The sequence below is a fragment of the Homo sapiens genome, chromosome 2 (assembly GCF_000001405.40).
Source record: "Homo sapiens chromosome 2, GRCh38.p14 Primary Assembly".
NCBI classification, from domain to species: domain Eukaryota; kingdom Metazoa; phylum Chordata; class Mammalia; order Primates; family Hominidae; genus Homo; species Homo sapiens.
In genome coordinates, this window is record NC_000002.12 from 85672049 (window position 1) to 85685073 (window position 13025).

The window sequence follows — 13025 nt, forward strand, 5'->3', positions numbered from 1 at the left end:
TGTCAGTTTTCATTGCAGCATTATTCATAATAGCCAAAAGGTAGAAACAAGTGTTCATCCACGGATGAATGGGTAAACAAAATGTGTTGTACACACTCAAAGGAATATTATTGAGCCTTTTTAGGAAGGAAATTCAGCCAGGCGCAGTGGCTCATGCCTGTAATCCCAGGACTTTGGGAGGCCAAGGTGGGCAGATCACGAGGTCAGGAGTTCGAGACCAGCCTTACCAACACGGTGAAACCCCGTCTCTACTAAAAATACAAAAATTAGCCGGGCCTGGTGGTGCATGCCTGTAATCCCAGCTACTCGGGAGGCTGAGGCTGGAGAATCGCTTGAACCCGGGAGGCGGAGGTTACAGAGAACTGAGATTGCGCCACTGCACTCTAGCCTGGGCAACAGAGCAATACTCCGTCTGGGGTGGGTGGGGGTAGGAAAAAAAAGGAAAGAAATTTGGACACATGCTACAACATGGATGAATCTTGAAAACATGACGCTCAGTGAAATAATCCAGTCACAAAAGGACAGATATTGTGTGATTCCATTTATAGGAAGTATGCAGAGTAGTCAAACTCGTAGGGACAGAAAGTAGGTCAGAGGTTACCAGGGGCTGGGGAAGAGGGAACGCGGAGGTACTGGTTAATGGAAACAAAGTTTCATCCTGTGATGAAAAGTTCTGGAGATGAACGACGGTTTTGGTTGCATAATGTGGGTGGGCTTGACGTCCCCGAGCTGTACACTTAAAAATGGTTAAGGCAGTATTATGTTATCTATATTTGTATATTTCATCACAATTGAAAAAGAAAGGGGAAGAGAGAGAAACAAACCAGGCTGCAGGTGGAGAAGAGTCTTGTTTTTCTTCTTGACTGTGGAAAGTGTGAGACTCCCAAGTGTGGGACTTGAGACACCTGGGGCTGGGAAAAAAGAGATCAGCCAAATGGGACAGTTGATATTAAAATCTCTTTTATGTCCTTGCAGAGATGCACGGAAGAGCAGAATTCATTTTAGTTCCTTTTGTTGTATTTTGGGCTGCATTCTTCTGACTCTGCTTGGGGCCTGAGCCTAAGGACCCATGACTTTCCTCCCCTCTCCTATCCCCACTCTTCGTAGTTGAATTTATTTGAGTGTAGTTTCTGTTTCTGGGGTAGAACCAACCCATGAGAAATACAAGGCCAGTGCACCTCAGGAGGCCTCATGGTAGCAGCCTTTCCTAGCATAGCTCTATCTTATGTCTTTCTTTCAAAAGAAGGAATTTCTCCGTGGGAAGGGGTAGGGAGGTAGGGCCCTTGGCAATGAAACTTACAGTTTATAAAGACCTTTCACAATTCATTTGTTTGACCAAAAAATGGTTAATGAGCTAGGAGTTGGGATGACAATGGTCACCACCCTGGTGGACTTAATATCTATGGATGAGGGCACAGACCAGTAATCAGAGTGGAATACTACCCAGGCCTGGAGAGGAAGAGGAGACGCTGGGGGAGATGGGGCAGCTACGGGGAGACTTGGGGAGGCATAGAAATTGGCCTGGTCAAATGGTGGGGCGGGATTGATTGAGGAGGATTTCCAGGCAGATAAATAGTTCATGCAAAGGCCTAGGAAAAGAGAGAGCATGGGGCTGGTACAGGGAGAGTTCACCACTCTGCACCACAAATAGAGGTTCAGAGTGTTGGGGAGCTTGGTAGAGAGTGACAGCCAAACCCACATCTCCTGCTCCCTGGTCTGTGTCTGAGCAGCCCGAATAGCTTTGGCCCTGAACATCTCTGGGGACTGGGATCATCTCTTTTCCTTCTTCTGTCTCCCCAAGCTCAGCTGGATTCTATTAAGAATAGCCGGTAGGAGGAACTGGCAATGTTGACATTGACCTTCCTCGAATTCCCTTTTCTTTACGCTGCTGTTGTGGGCTGAATTGTGCCCTTAAAATATGTTGATGTCCTAACCCCTGGTGTCTGTGACTGTGACCTTATTTGAAATAGAGCCTTTGCAGATGTAATCAATTTAAGATGTGGTCATTAGGGTGGGCCCTAATCCAATGACCGGTGTCCTTATAAGAAAGGGAGATTGGGGCACAGAGGGAGTGCCATGTGACCATGGAGGCAGAGATTGGAGTGATGGCAGCTGCAAGCTCAGGAACACTAGGGATTGCAGCAACCGCCAGAAGCCAAGAAGAGGCAGGGAAGGGTTCTTCCCTACAGCCTTCGGAGGGTGCACGGCCCGGATTTCAGACTTCTGGACTCCATAGTCGTTAGAGAACACATTTCTGTTGCTTGAAGCCACCCAGCTTGTGGTGCTTTGTTCCAGCAGCCCTAGGAAATGCATGCAGCTGCCCACCGTATTTGCAGCCCATCCATGTTTCCCCTTCCCCACACCAAGATGTGAGGCTCTGTTTACCAAATCCAAATTGAACATTGGACATGTTGGGTTTTGGGCAGGCACAGTTCGAGTCACTCTTGCTGTGCGTGAGTTCTATGACCAAAAAGTGTGATTGCAGTAGAGGCCTTGGGGAAGATCTGAGTGTTGAATCTCAGTGAAGAAATATTCCTTGAGTAAGTGTCCAAAATGGGTGACATTTGGCTCTTGCATCAGGGCTGTCCTCTTTCATCATCTGTCAGATGTCCATTCCCCCAGGGCCTTGATGAAAGCTCATCTGCTCATCCTCCCTGCCAGGAATGTCCTTTCCCTCTGTCCCTAACTGGACACTCCCTGCAGGAAGGAAATGTGCTTGTCTGCTCATGGCTGATTCAGGCCCCAGCATGGTGCTGGGAACACAGTGGCTGCCTAATCAACCAACTGCCATTCCCTCTTTCTTCCTTGTTAATGGAACCCAAGTTTTGTTCTGGTTCAGAGAGCTGATTCTGTGGCCTCACCCTGGGGACGCACCATGATCTGGCCATACCATCTCCCTTTGCCGGTAATTACTTAGGGTAAGCATGTATTTGGGTTCTGGTCAACCAGACTGACGCAAGTTGGCTGGCGGCAGCATGGTGGGGGATCCTTCCGGGGAATGTTTTCATCCTGGTTAAAGCAGACAGATGAGGAGAAGTGCCTCTTTCTTCTTTTGGACATTCTCATGCAAGGCTGGGATGTCGAAACCATGGCAGCCATCTTGCTCCAAGAATGGGGAGACAGAAGAAGTACTGAGAAGGAGCTCAGAGCATTGACATGGCCAAGATGCTGATTTAACCAATCCCAAGCCCTTATTGTTCTGTTTGTATAATTTCTACTTGGATATTCTGTTATGTGCAGCCCAAATAATCTCAATCAAAGGCAGAAGGAAGGAAAGACAGAAAGAAACAGGGAGAAAGAACAGAGGGAGGGAAGGAAGAAAGGAAGTTAGTTAGTACTTTACATCCTTTTTGTGCAGGTTAAATTTCACATCCTCCAAGGAGGTCTCCCAGTTTCCTCAGACCTGGAACCCAATCCCCTCCCTCTTGCCATTGTACTATCTGTCCTTTGGGAGAGCTCTTAGCACCTGCCAGGCTTTGACTTGGGTGTTCATTTGGCCTGGAGGCTACAGCTTGAGCCTCTCCCATGCCGCCTCCTGGGTGCACACACATTTGGTTCTGGCCGGTGTCGTCCTGCTGTAGTAGCCTGCTGGGAAGGAGCATGGGGGCCTGGGAGCCTCTCAGGAGAACCTGCTCCCTAAGGGACGAGAGAGTCAGACTGACCAGTTCGACTCTCTGACAAAGCCCCAGTTATGAGAAGAGACGAAGGGAGCTGAGCTTTTTTTTTTTTTTTTCTGAGACAATGTTTTGTTCTTGTTGCCCAGGCTGGAGTGCAATGGCGTGATCTCAGCACACTGCAACCTCCACCTCCTGGGTTCAAGCAATTCTCTTGCCTCAGCCTCCCGAGTAGCTGGGATTACAGGCATGCATCACCATGCCCGGCTAATTTTTTTATTTTTTAGTAGAGACTAGGTTTCACCATGTTGGCCAGGCTGGTCTTGAACTCCTGACCTCAGGTGATCTGCCTACCTCAGTCTCCCAAAGTGCTGGGATTAGAGGCGTGAGCCACTGTGCCCGGCCCAGGAGCTGAGCTTTTTATGGCATTTGTCATCTACCAGCGCAGCCCTGCCCCTTCAAGTAGAGCCTGGGTTCCAGGAAAGGAGAAAGCAAAGAAATCTGTTCCACTAACAACTTCAAGGGGACCCTTTTGAAGTTCAAGTTGTTTGACTCTGGCATTGACTCCATTTTTAAGTCCACATTGGTATGACCTAAAGAAGTAATGGTTCCATTCATTTATTCACTTCTATTATTTTTATTCAATTATAAAAATATATACTTGGCAATGTGCCAGGCACTAATCTAGGCACTGGAGATACAGCAGTAAACCAGCCAGATAGTGGGCTTGGCTTCCAGGAGCTTCCCTCCTAAGTGGGTGCTGTTCATGAAGGCAGGTTTGTTCCTCATTGACCCCTGGAGCAGAAATTGCATCTAATGATATCTTCGGCTCTTATCACACCCTTGATGGGGCTTTGTCCATAGTGGGGGCTCAAAAATATTTTCTAATTTCAAGTAGTCCTGATATCTTAACCCCATTCAGGACAAGCTTAATGTGAGAATTCGCTCAACACGGCACTTGCATATTTTATTCAAAAGCCAGAAACATCTGAGGGCAAAGGAAGAACTAAAAATAACTTGCAGGCTTTCTTAAAGCTGGTAAGAGAAGATTTGACCTTGGGGAATGTATTTATTGTTTTTGTGTTAATTAGTTAAATTCTGATTGCAAAAGAAAGTGTTGTCCGACATTTTTATGTTACAAAGCAGAGAGAACTCGATGCAAACTGACCTATAGGAAAGGGAATTTTCGCTTGAGCCCAGGAGTTCGAGGTCAGCCTGGGCAACATAGTGAGACTCTGTCTCAAAGAGAAAAGCAGGGGCAGGATTTTTGGTTCATGTAATTGAAAAATCTGGAAGTTGATCAAGTAGTTGCTGGCAAAGTTTATCCACGGGTGCAAATCATGTCACCAAGATATGGTTTCTCCCTGTGCTCAGCCTCTGCTGTCTGGAGCCTCCAAGTCTTCCTCCATAGCAGTGAAAAGGCTACAGCTGTTCCAGATGTCACAGCTTTATCCACGTTGTCCAAGCAGGTATTGGGACTCCTCTGGTAGCTCTAGTGCTAGTCTTGCTCTGTTGCCCAGGCTGGAGTGCAGTGGCACGATCTCTGCTCACTGCAGCCTCAACCTCCCGGGGTTCAAGTGATCCTCCCACCTCAGCCTCCCGAGTAGCTGGGATTACAGGCACCTGCCAGCATTTCCAGCTAATTTTTGTATTTTTAGTAGAGACGGGGTTTCACAATGTTGGCCAGGCTGGTCTCAAACTCCTGGCCTCAGGTGATCCTCCCGCCTAGGCCTCCCAAAGTGCTGCGATTACAGGCGTGAGCCACCGCGCCCGGCCTAGCATATTTAAATTTTAATGCACACTGACAATAGGTCTCCCAAGATGTCATGCTGACATCTCCTCTGAGCAGTATAGAAGACAGTGCCTTTCTCCTGACTGGAATTGTGAATCTTTTTCTTTTTTCATTTGTGGTAAAATACACATAACCTAAAATTTGCATCCTAGGCCAGGAGTGGTGGCTCACGCCTGTAATCCCAGCACTTTGGGAGGCCGAGACGGGTGGATCACCTGAGGTCAGGAGTTCTAGACCAGCCTGGCCAACATGGTGAAACCCCGTCTCTACTAAAAATACCAAAATTAGCTGGGCATGCTAGCGGGTGCCTGTAATCCCAACTACTTGGGAGGCTGAGGCATGAGAATTGCTTGAACCTGGGAGGTGGAGGTTGTGGTGAGCCGAGATTGCGCCACTGCACTCCAGCCTGGCCGACAGACAGTGAAACTCCATCTAAAAAAAAAAAAAAAAAAAAAAATTTACATTCTAACCGTTTCCAAGTGTACATTCAGTGGCTTTATGTACATTCACATTGATGCGCAACCATCACCACCATCCATCTCCAGAATGCTTTTCACCTTCCCAAGCAGAAACTCTGTGCCCATGAAACACTAACTCTCCTTTCCTCCCATCCCCTGACAATCATTCTACTTCCCATCTCTAACTCTCTTTTCCCCCATCCCCTGACAATCATTCTACTTCTCCTCTCTAACTCTCCTTTCCCCCATCCCCTGATAATCATTCTACTTCCTGTCTCTATGATTTTCACTGTTCTGTGTCCCTCCTAGAAGTGGACTCATATAGTATTTGTCTTTGGTGACTGGTTTATTTCACTTAGCAGAGTGTCTTTTGGGTTCATCCATGTTATCATGCATCTCTTATAATTTCCTTCCTTTTAAAGGCTGTGTGCATACACCGCATTTTGTTTATGGAATTATGACCCTTTTAAATGTCCCTAAAATTGCACCTGTTGGCTGTAGCTGCGCCTATAGGTTGTAGCTGGAGGACATTCCTGCCCATTGTTGGTTTCTGTTCCTTTCTGCCTTTCTGACCCAGCCTCCAACTGCTCCGGTCTAAGGAGATAAGAAGCCACACAGGCCTCTGGCAGGGGCTGGGTCTCCTTTCTGCAGGAAGTGCTTCAGGCCCCTCTTCTTGGTCTCTCCCTGAAGTAAGAGGCCTCAAGTGGAGTCCTGAGGGGCATGATGAGGGCTGTGCCCTGAACAGGTGCAAAGTATGGAGGGAAAATGTGGAGCCTGAGGAAGGCATCTTGAGGCTGGAGCAGGGAAGGCCGAGTGGGCACCTCCTTAGTTGAGCTGCCTTAGGACAAGGGAGCAGTGATGGTGGCTTCAACAGGAAAAGAGAAGCTGATTCTGACTGGAAGGGCACCAGCTGCCATTCCTGCAGGAACGAACAAGTGTTTTCCCAGGAAGATGGGGTCAGGTCGCTGAATCTGATGGGTCCTGGCTCTGTGCCCAAGTGCTGTTCCAGGCACAGGGTGGGGGTGACAGAAGGGGCAGCGCAGCCCTGCTCTCACCAAGCCACCTGTATGAGAAAACACAACAAAGACATTCCTTCAGCCACTAGGAGCCTCTGTCTCCAGGAAATTACCATGAAACCCCTAAGTGTAGTGGCTCAGGGCCACAAAGCTACGTCCCATGCCCAGGCTCAGGCCCATTATGTGTGGCCAGGGACTCTGCTCATCACAGTCACCCCGGGGCACAGGCTGACTTGCAGTGGTCGTCTTGAACACTGCCCATCATCATGCCAGGAGAAAAGAGAATTCTGGGGTCTCTCCCTGGCTGTTAAATGTTCCAGTTGGGAAGGAACAGGCTTAACTTCTGCTCAGGAAGCAACCTGGCAGGACGCCACCCAGCCTTCCCAACCCTCACTCGCAAACACAGGGCGGCCAGGGAGTGCAATTCCAAAGCAGGACCGGAAGGTGGCGCCCGGGAGCCAGGTGGAGATGCACCGCCCTGGGCAGCGCGATCCCCACACCTTGCCCTTCGCGGACTTCGCTGCAGCCCAACTTTCTTGGGGCAGCTGTTTCTGCTGAACTAAAGGAACACCAGGGGGTCCAGTCTCTCGACACCCCAGGGCCCACGCACCTGCTGAGGAAGGCGCTCCTTCATTACAGGCGGCAGCACCGAGTACCTGGGCTTTACAACATTTTAACCTCCCCTCCCCTCCCCTTCCCTCATTTTTCTTTTCTTTTCTTTTTTTTTTTTTTGACGGAATCTCGCTCTATAGGCCAGGCTGGAGTGCAATGGCACGATCTCGGCTCACTGCAACCTCTGCCTCCTGGGTTCAAGCGATTCTCCTGCCTCAGCCTCCCGAGTAGCTGGGATTACAGGCATGTGCCACCACACCCGGCTAAGTTTTGTATTTTTAGTAGAGACAGGGTTTCACCATGTTGGCCAGGCTGGTCTCGAACTCCTGACCTCAGGTGATCCGCCTGCCTCGGCCTCCCAAAGTGCTAGGATTACAGGCGTGAGCCACCATGCACGGACAAGCTGTTCTTTCTTACTGTTTACACTTATTTGTGTATATATATATATTTTTGAGATGGAGTCTCGCTTTGTCACCCAGGCTGGAGTACAGTAGCACAATCTCAGCTCACTGCAACCTCTGCCTCCCAAGTTCAAGCGATTCTCCTGCCTCAGCCTCCCAGGTAGCTGGGATTATAGGTGCCCACCACCACACCTGACTAATTTTTGCATTTTTAGTAGAAGTGGGGTTTCACCATGTTGGCCAGGCTGGTCTCGAACTCTTGACCTCAAGTGATCATCTGGCCTCGGCTTCCCAAAGTGCTGGGATTACAGGTGTAACTCACCACGCTGGGTCCACTTATTTGTAATTTGATCATTGTCTTCTCTCCCACTAGAAAGTAAGTTCCATGAGGGCAGGCCCCATGTTCATGTTTACTCATCTTCCTGTTCTCAGTGCCTGGCGGAGTACCTGGCACAGAGTAGCATTCACTTGGTGTTTGCTGAATCAATGAACATGACCGAGGGCTGCAGTCTGAGGTCTGGAGGCTTTGCAGACTGGTTGGGGGCACCATCCTAAAGGCTATCAGAGCAACTGCTGAGAGAGACTCCAACCAGGCTGGAGCTCCACTTGTAGCAGAGTCCCAGTGTTCTGGCTGGGCAGGGAGTAGGGCAGTTCTGAAAATTGACAGGGAGGTCTGCCCCAGCCCAGCCCCCAGGGGCTCTTGTCCAAGTCCCAGTGACAGGATGTCTGCAAGTAAATGCTGAAGGAGATGCTTCAGCTAAAAGCTCCAGGACATGTAGGTTCAAATGGCCTAACAAACTGGGAAACCAGAGTGGAGGGGAGACATTCTCATTTCAGGATAGACCCTGGCTGCCTTGGGGCCTCCAGGGTGCTAGGGGACACAGCCCAGCTCTGCATCCCTGGCAGAGATGGCCACATCCAGCAGGCCCTGGTGGCACTGCAGAGAGAACAGCACCCTGGGGACCAATTATCCTGGGAAACAGGCTGGTGCCTATCCAGATGGTGGTGCCAGGCACTGCCACTGTACAACTGGCTGATTTGGTGAATAAGTTGCAGACATAATTGAAGGGCAATTTGTTGGGGATGTAAAGTACTGCAATGGCCCACAGGGTAAGAGACAGTAAAATAAGGGTAAATGTCACCACTCAGAATTTACACACAGGTTGGTATGCCTCAGGAAACTTAGGTTAATAATGAAAAAGAAAAAAACACAACAATACGAAACACTGGAGAAATACTGGCAGGATGTGTATCACCTTGTTGATAATGGTATTTCTTGGTATAATTACATGTGGTCATTACTCATTGTCTTTGTACTTTGAAAAAAAAATTAAGCCAAAGGAAAAAAAAAAACCTTCCTTTCCCAGTCAAATATACTAGCAAACAAGAAGCTGTTAGAAAACAATTCTCGCTGGTGTAGATTTTGTCCTGTTTTGGTTGTGAGGATGAGGGGCTGGTGTGGATCAACAGTCCTGAGGGGGAAGCAGGAATCCCAGAAGACGGAGGGTCAGGCTGGGGAATGCAGTTCTGGAAGCTGAGAGCAGAGTGCCCAGTCCTTTCACATCAGGTATGAGTCAAACGCCAGGACAGGGGTGTGGTAAAGGTCAGGCACCAGGACATCCAGGGACAGAAGCCAGCAGACAAGTGAGGCTGCAGGGGAGGCCAGGGTCATGTGGGTCATTCTGGGATGGAAGCTGATAGGTGGGAGAGTGGAGAAAGCAGGCAGGTAGGGCTCGCAGCCAGGTGAGGGTTCAGAGTGGGCGTATATGAGCCTCAGTTCTAAGACCTCTGGATCCAAGCTGTCATCAACCGTGAAAGTCAGACATAGAAGTTGCCAGTGACTTTGGAGCCTCCCAAAGGAAGGGACCCAAGTAGGGGAGGTCCTGGGGTGGCAGAGTTTTGAGAAGTTATGTGGCAGAGAGCCTGTGCATGAGGGAGAAAGGGTGATGTAAAGGGTTAACCTCTGAAACCAGAGGCATGGATGAAGGCTGAGCCTCTCTTGCAGCCTAGGAACTTGAGAAATGAGTTATGGACAGTTCAGGTGAGGTCTGCTGACTCCCTGGGAAACTACTGACATTTCCTTTGTGTCATACTCCAAAGCCTGATACAAATGGTGGTGGCCATGTGGTCAGGAGTGTTTTTTTTTTTTTTGGTAGAGATGGGGGTCTCGCTATATTGCCCAGGCTGGCCTTGAACTCCTGGCCTCAAGTGATCCTCCTGCCTTGGCCTCCCAAAGTGCTGGGAATACAGATGTAAACTGTCGTGCCCAGCCTCATTTCTTTTGGGTGCATACTCAGAAGAGGGATTGCTAAATCATATGGTAATTCTATTTTTAAATTTTCAAGGAACCTTTATACTGTTGTCCATAATGGCTATACTAATTTACATTTCCACTAATACTTCACTATGTATATGTTTGCCAAAATATCACGTTGTATGCCTTAAATATATGCAATTTTTACTTTAACAAGTCAGCCCTCAGACTTTTATCTATTTTTAGTTTGCCATAGTGCTGCATTCAGGAGCTTCTGTCCAAGACACAAAGCCTGGCTGGCCTGTCATTTCTTAATAATCCAGCAAGCTTCCAGGGTGAGTAGGCTGCCTGGGCCCAGAATGGGTCCTTAGAGTCAGCTGATGCATAACTGTCTCTGTAACATCTATTTTAAGGGGCATCCAGGCAGGGCGCGGTGGCTCACGCCTGTTATCCCAGCACCCTGGGAGGCGGAGGCGGGTGGTCAGGAGTTTGAGACCAGCCTGGCCAATATGGTGAAACCCTGTCTGTACTAAAAATACAAAAATTAGCTGGGAGTGCTGGCACATGCCTGTAATCCCAGTTCCTCAGGAGGCTGAGGCAGGAGAATCGCTTGAACTTGGGAGGCGGAGGTTGCAGTGAGCTGAAATCATGCCACTGCCCTGCAGCCTGGGCGACAGAGCGAGAATCAGTCTCAATAATTAATTAATTAATTAATTAATTAAATAAAAAAATAAAATAAAATAAAGGGCATCTGGGGGGGTGTATCCAAAATGATGAGCAAAAACTATGGCATGTGGGGGCTGTTTCCAATCATCCATCCATTCACCCATGATCTAGATTTTCTTTCTTGTTTCTTCCTTGCAGACTGACTTCATCCTTCTGTCCATTCAATCATCCATCCATCCACTTACCCATCCATCTATCCAAAGGGGCACAAGGACACTTTTAGGGCTGATGGATGTGTTCACTGTCTTGACTGCTATGATGGTTTTATGGGTGTGTACATGTGTTAGAACTGGTAAAGTGGTATACTTTAAATGTGTGCATGTGAGTGTACCTTAATTATATTTCAATAAAGTTGGAAAAAAGGAAGGTAAATAACAGTAGGTCAAAACTGATAACACCCCACATTATCCATGGACAAGACAATGGATAAGCTGTGGAATATCCATACAATGGAATACTGCTCAGCAGTAGAAAGGAACAAATTGCTCAAATATACGACAACATGGACCATCTCACACATGAATGCTGATCAAAAGACGTCAGATGCGACAATCATTCTGTACAGTTCCATTTATATACACTTCAAAAACAGAGAAAACAGGCCTGGCATGGTGGCTTATGCCTATAATTCTAGCACTTTGGGAGGCCAAGGCAGGTGGATCACCCGAGGTCAGGAGTTCAAGGCCAGCCTGACCAACATGGTGAAACTCTGTCTCTACTAAAAATACAAAAATTAGCTGGGTGTGGTGGCGCACGCCTGTAATCCCAGCTACTCAGGAGGCTGAGGCAAGAGAATTGCTTGAACCTGGGAGGCAGAGGTTGCAGTGAGCCGAGATCACGCCATTGCACTCCAGTCTGGGCAACAAGAGCAAAACTCCAGCTCAAAACAAACAAACAAACCAGAGAAAACAGAGCTATGGTGTTTATGAGTATGTGCTCAGGTGGTAAAACTATAAAGAAAAACAAGAACACAATGATCATTAAGTCCTCCCTAGGGAAGGAGGAAGGGGTGGTCTCTGGGAGGGAAGATGATGGGGCTTCTGGGGAGCTGGCAGATTTCTTGACCTGGGTGGTTACGTGGATGTGTGCTTGATAATAAACCATTGAGCTGTACGTTTTGTTTTGTGTGCATTTCTGAATATATTTTACATTGTGTAATTTAAAATGGAGCAACATATATATACATGCTTGTATGGAAAGGTACAAAAAAGGAAAATTTTAACAGTTTTTCTTTCCTCTGAGGAGAGAGGCTATGAACTAGTGGGGGCTTATATTCTTTTTCCTTATGCTTTTCGTAAGTACATTAAAATGTCAAAAATACATAAAATATTTCCTCGCACTGTTCGTAAGGAAAATCCACAAATTTTCATCATAAATGCATGGATGAGAAAGCAAAGAAGGGGTTCTCCAGCTGCAGGTACTGAAGCAAGGACTAGGGATCTAAGCAGAAGACAGAAGAGGCAATGGCTTGTGTGTCTACGTGAGAGAGAGAGTGTGTGTGTGTCTGTGTGAGAGTGTGTATGTATGTCTATGTGAGTGTATGTGTCTGTGAGAGTGTGTCTCTATGTGAGTGAGAGTGTGTCTATGCGAGAGTGTGTGTGTCTATGTGTGTGTTTATGCGAGTGTATCTATATGAGTGTATGTGTCTATGCGAGAGTGTATGTGAGAGTGTCTATGTGAGTGTGTGTATGTGAGAGTGTGTTTGAGTGCATGCATATGTGTGTGTGCCTATGTGTGTCTATATGAGTGTGTCTATGTGAGTGTGTGTGTTTGAACTCTGTGTGTATGTATAAGAGTTTGTGTGAGTGGGTGTGTGTGTGTGTGTAGTGGAATGGGGGACAGGAAGATGAGGCAGAGAGGGCTTCAGAGAGGCTGGAAGCCTGAGAAAGATTTACCCCACCATCGCTGGCTTTGAAGGGATGGACAGGGCCATGAGCCTGGAGATACCAGCAGCCTTTAGAGCTGAGAATGACCCTCTGATAACAGCCAGCACGGAAAGGGGGATCTCAGTCCTGCAACCACACGGCACTGAGCTCTGCCAACAATGTGGCATGAACCTAGAAACAGATTATTCTCAGATCCTCCAGGTTAGAGCCCTGCCAGCCCACATCCTGACTTTGGCCTTGTGAGAACCAGTTGAGCACACCCAGTC

At 48.0% G+C, this 13025-nt stretch overlaps 1 long non-coding RNA gene across 1 annotated transcript; it reads left to right on the forward strand.

Annotated features, from left to right (window-relative positions):
* LOC105374842 (uncharacterized) lies at positions 9300–11239 on the forward strand. The gene is made up of 3 exons (XR_940317.3): positions 9300–9460; positions 10394–10482; positions 11012–11239. It is a non-coding gene; the product is annotated as an uncharacterized LOC105374842 (long non-coding RNA).
* The last annotated feature ends 1786 nt before the right edge of the window (positions 11240–13025 follow it).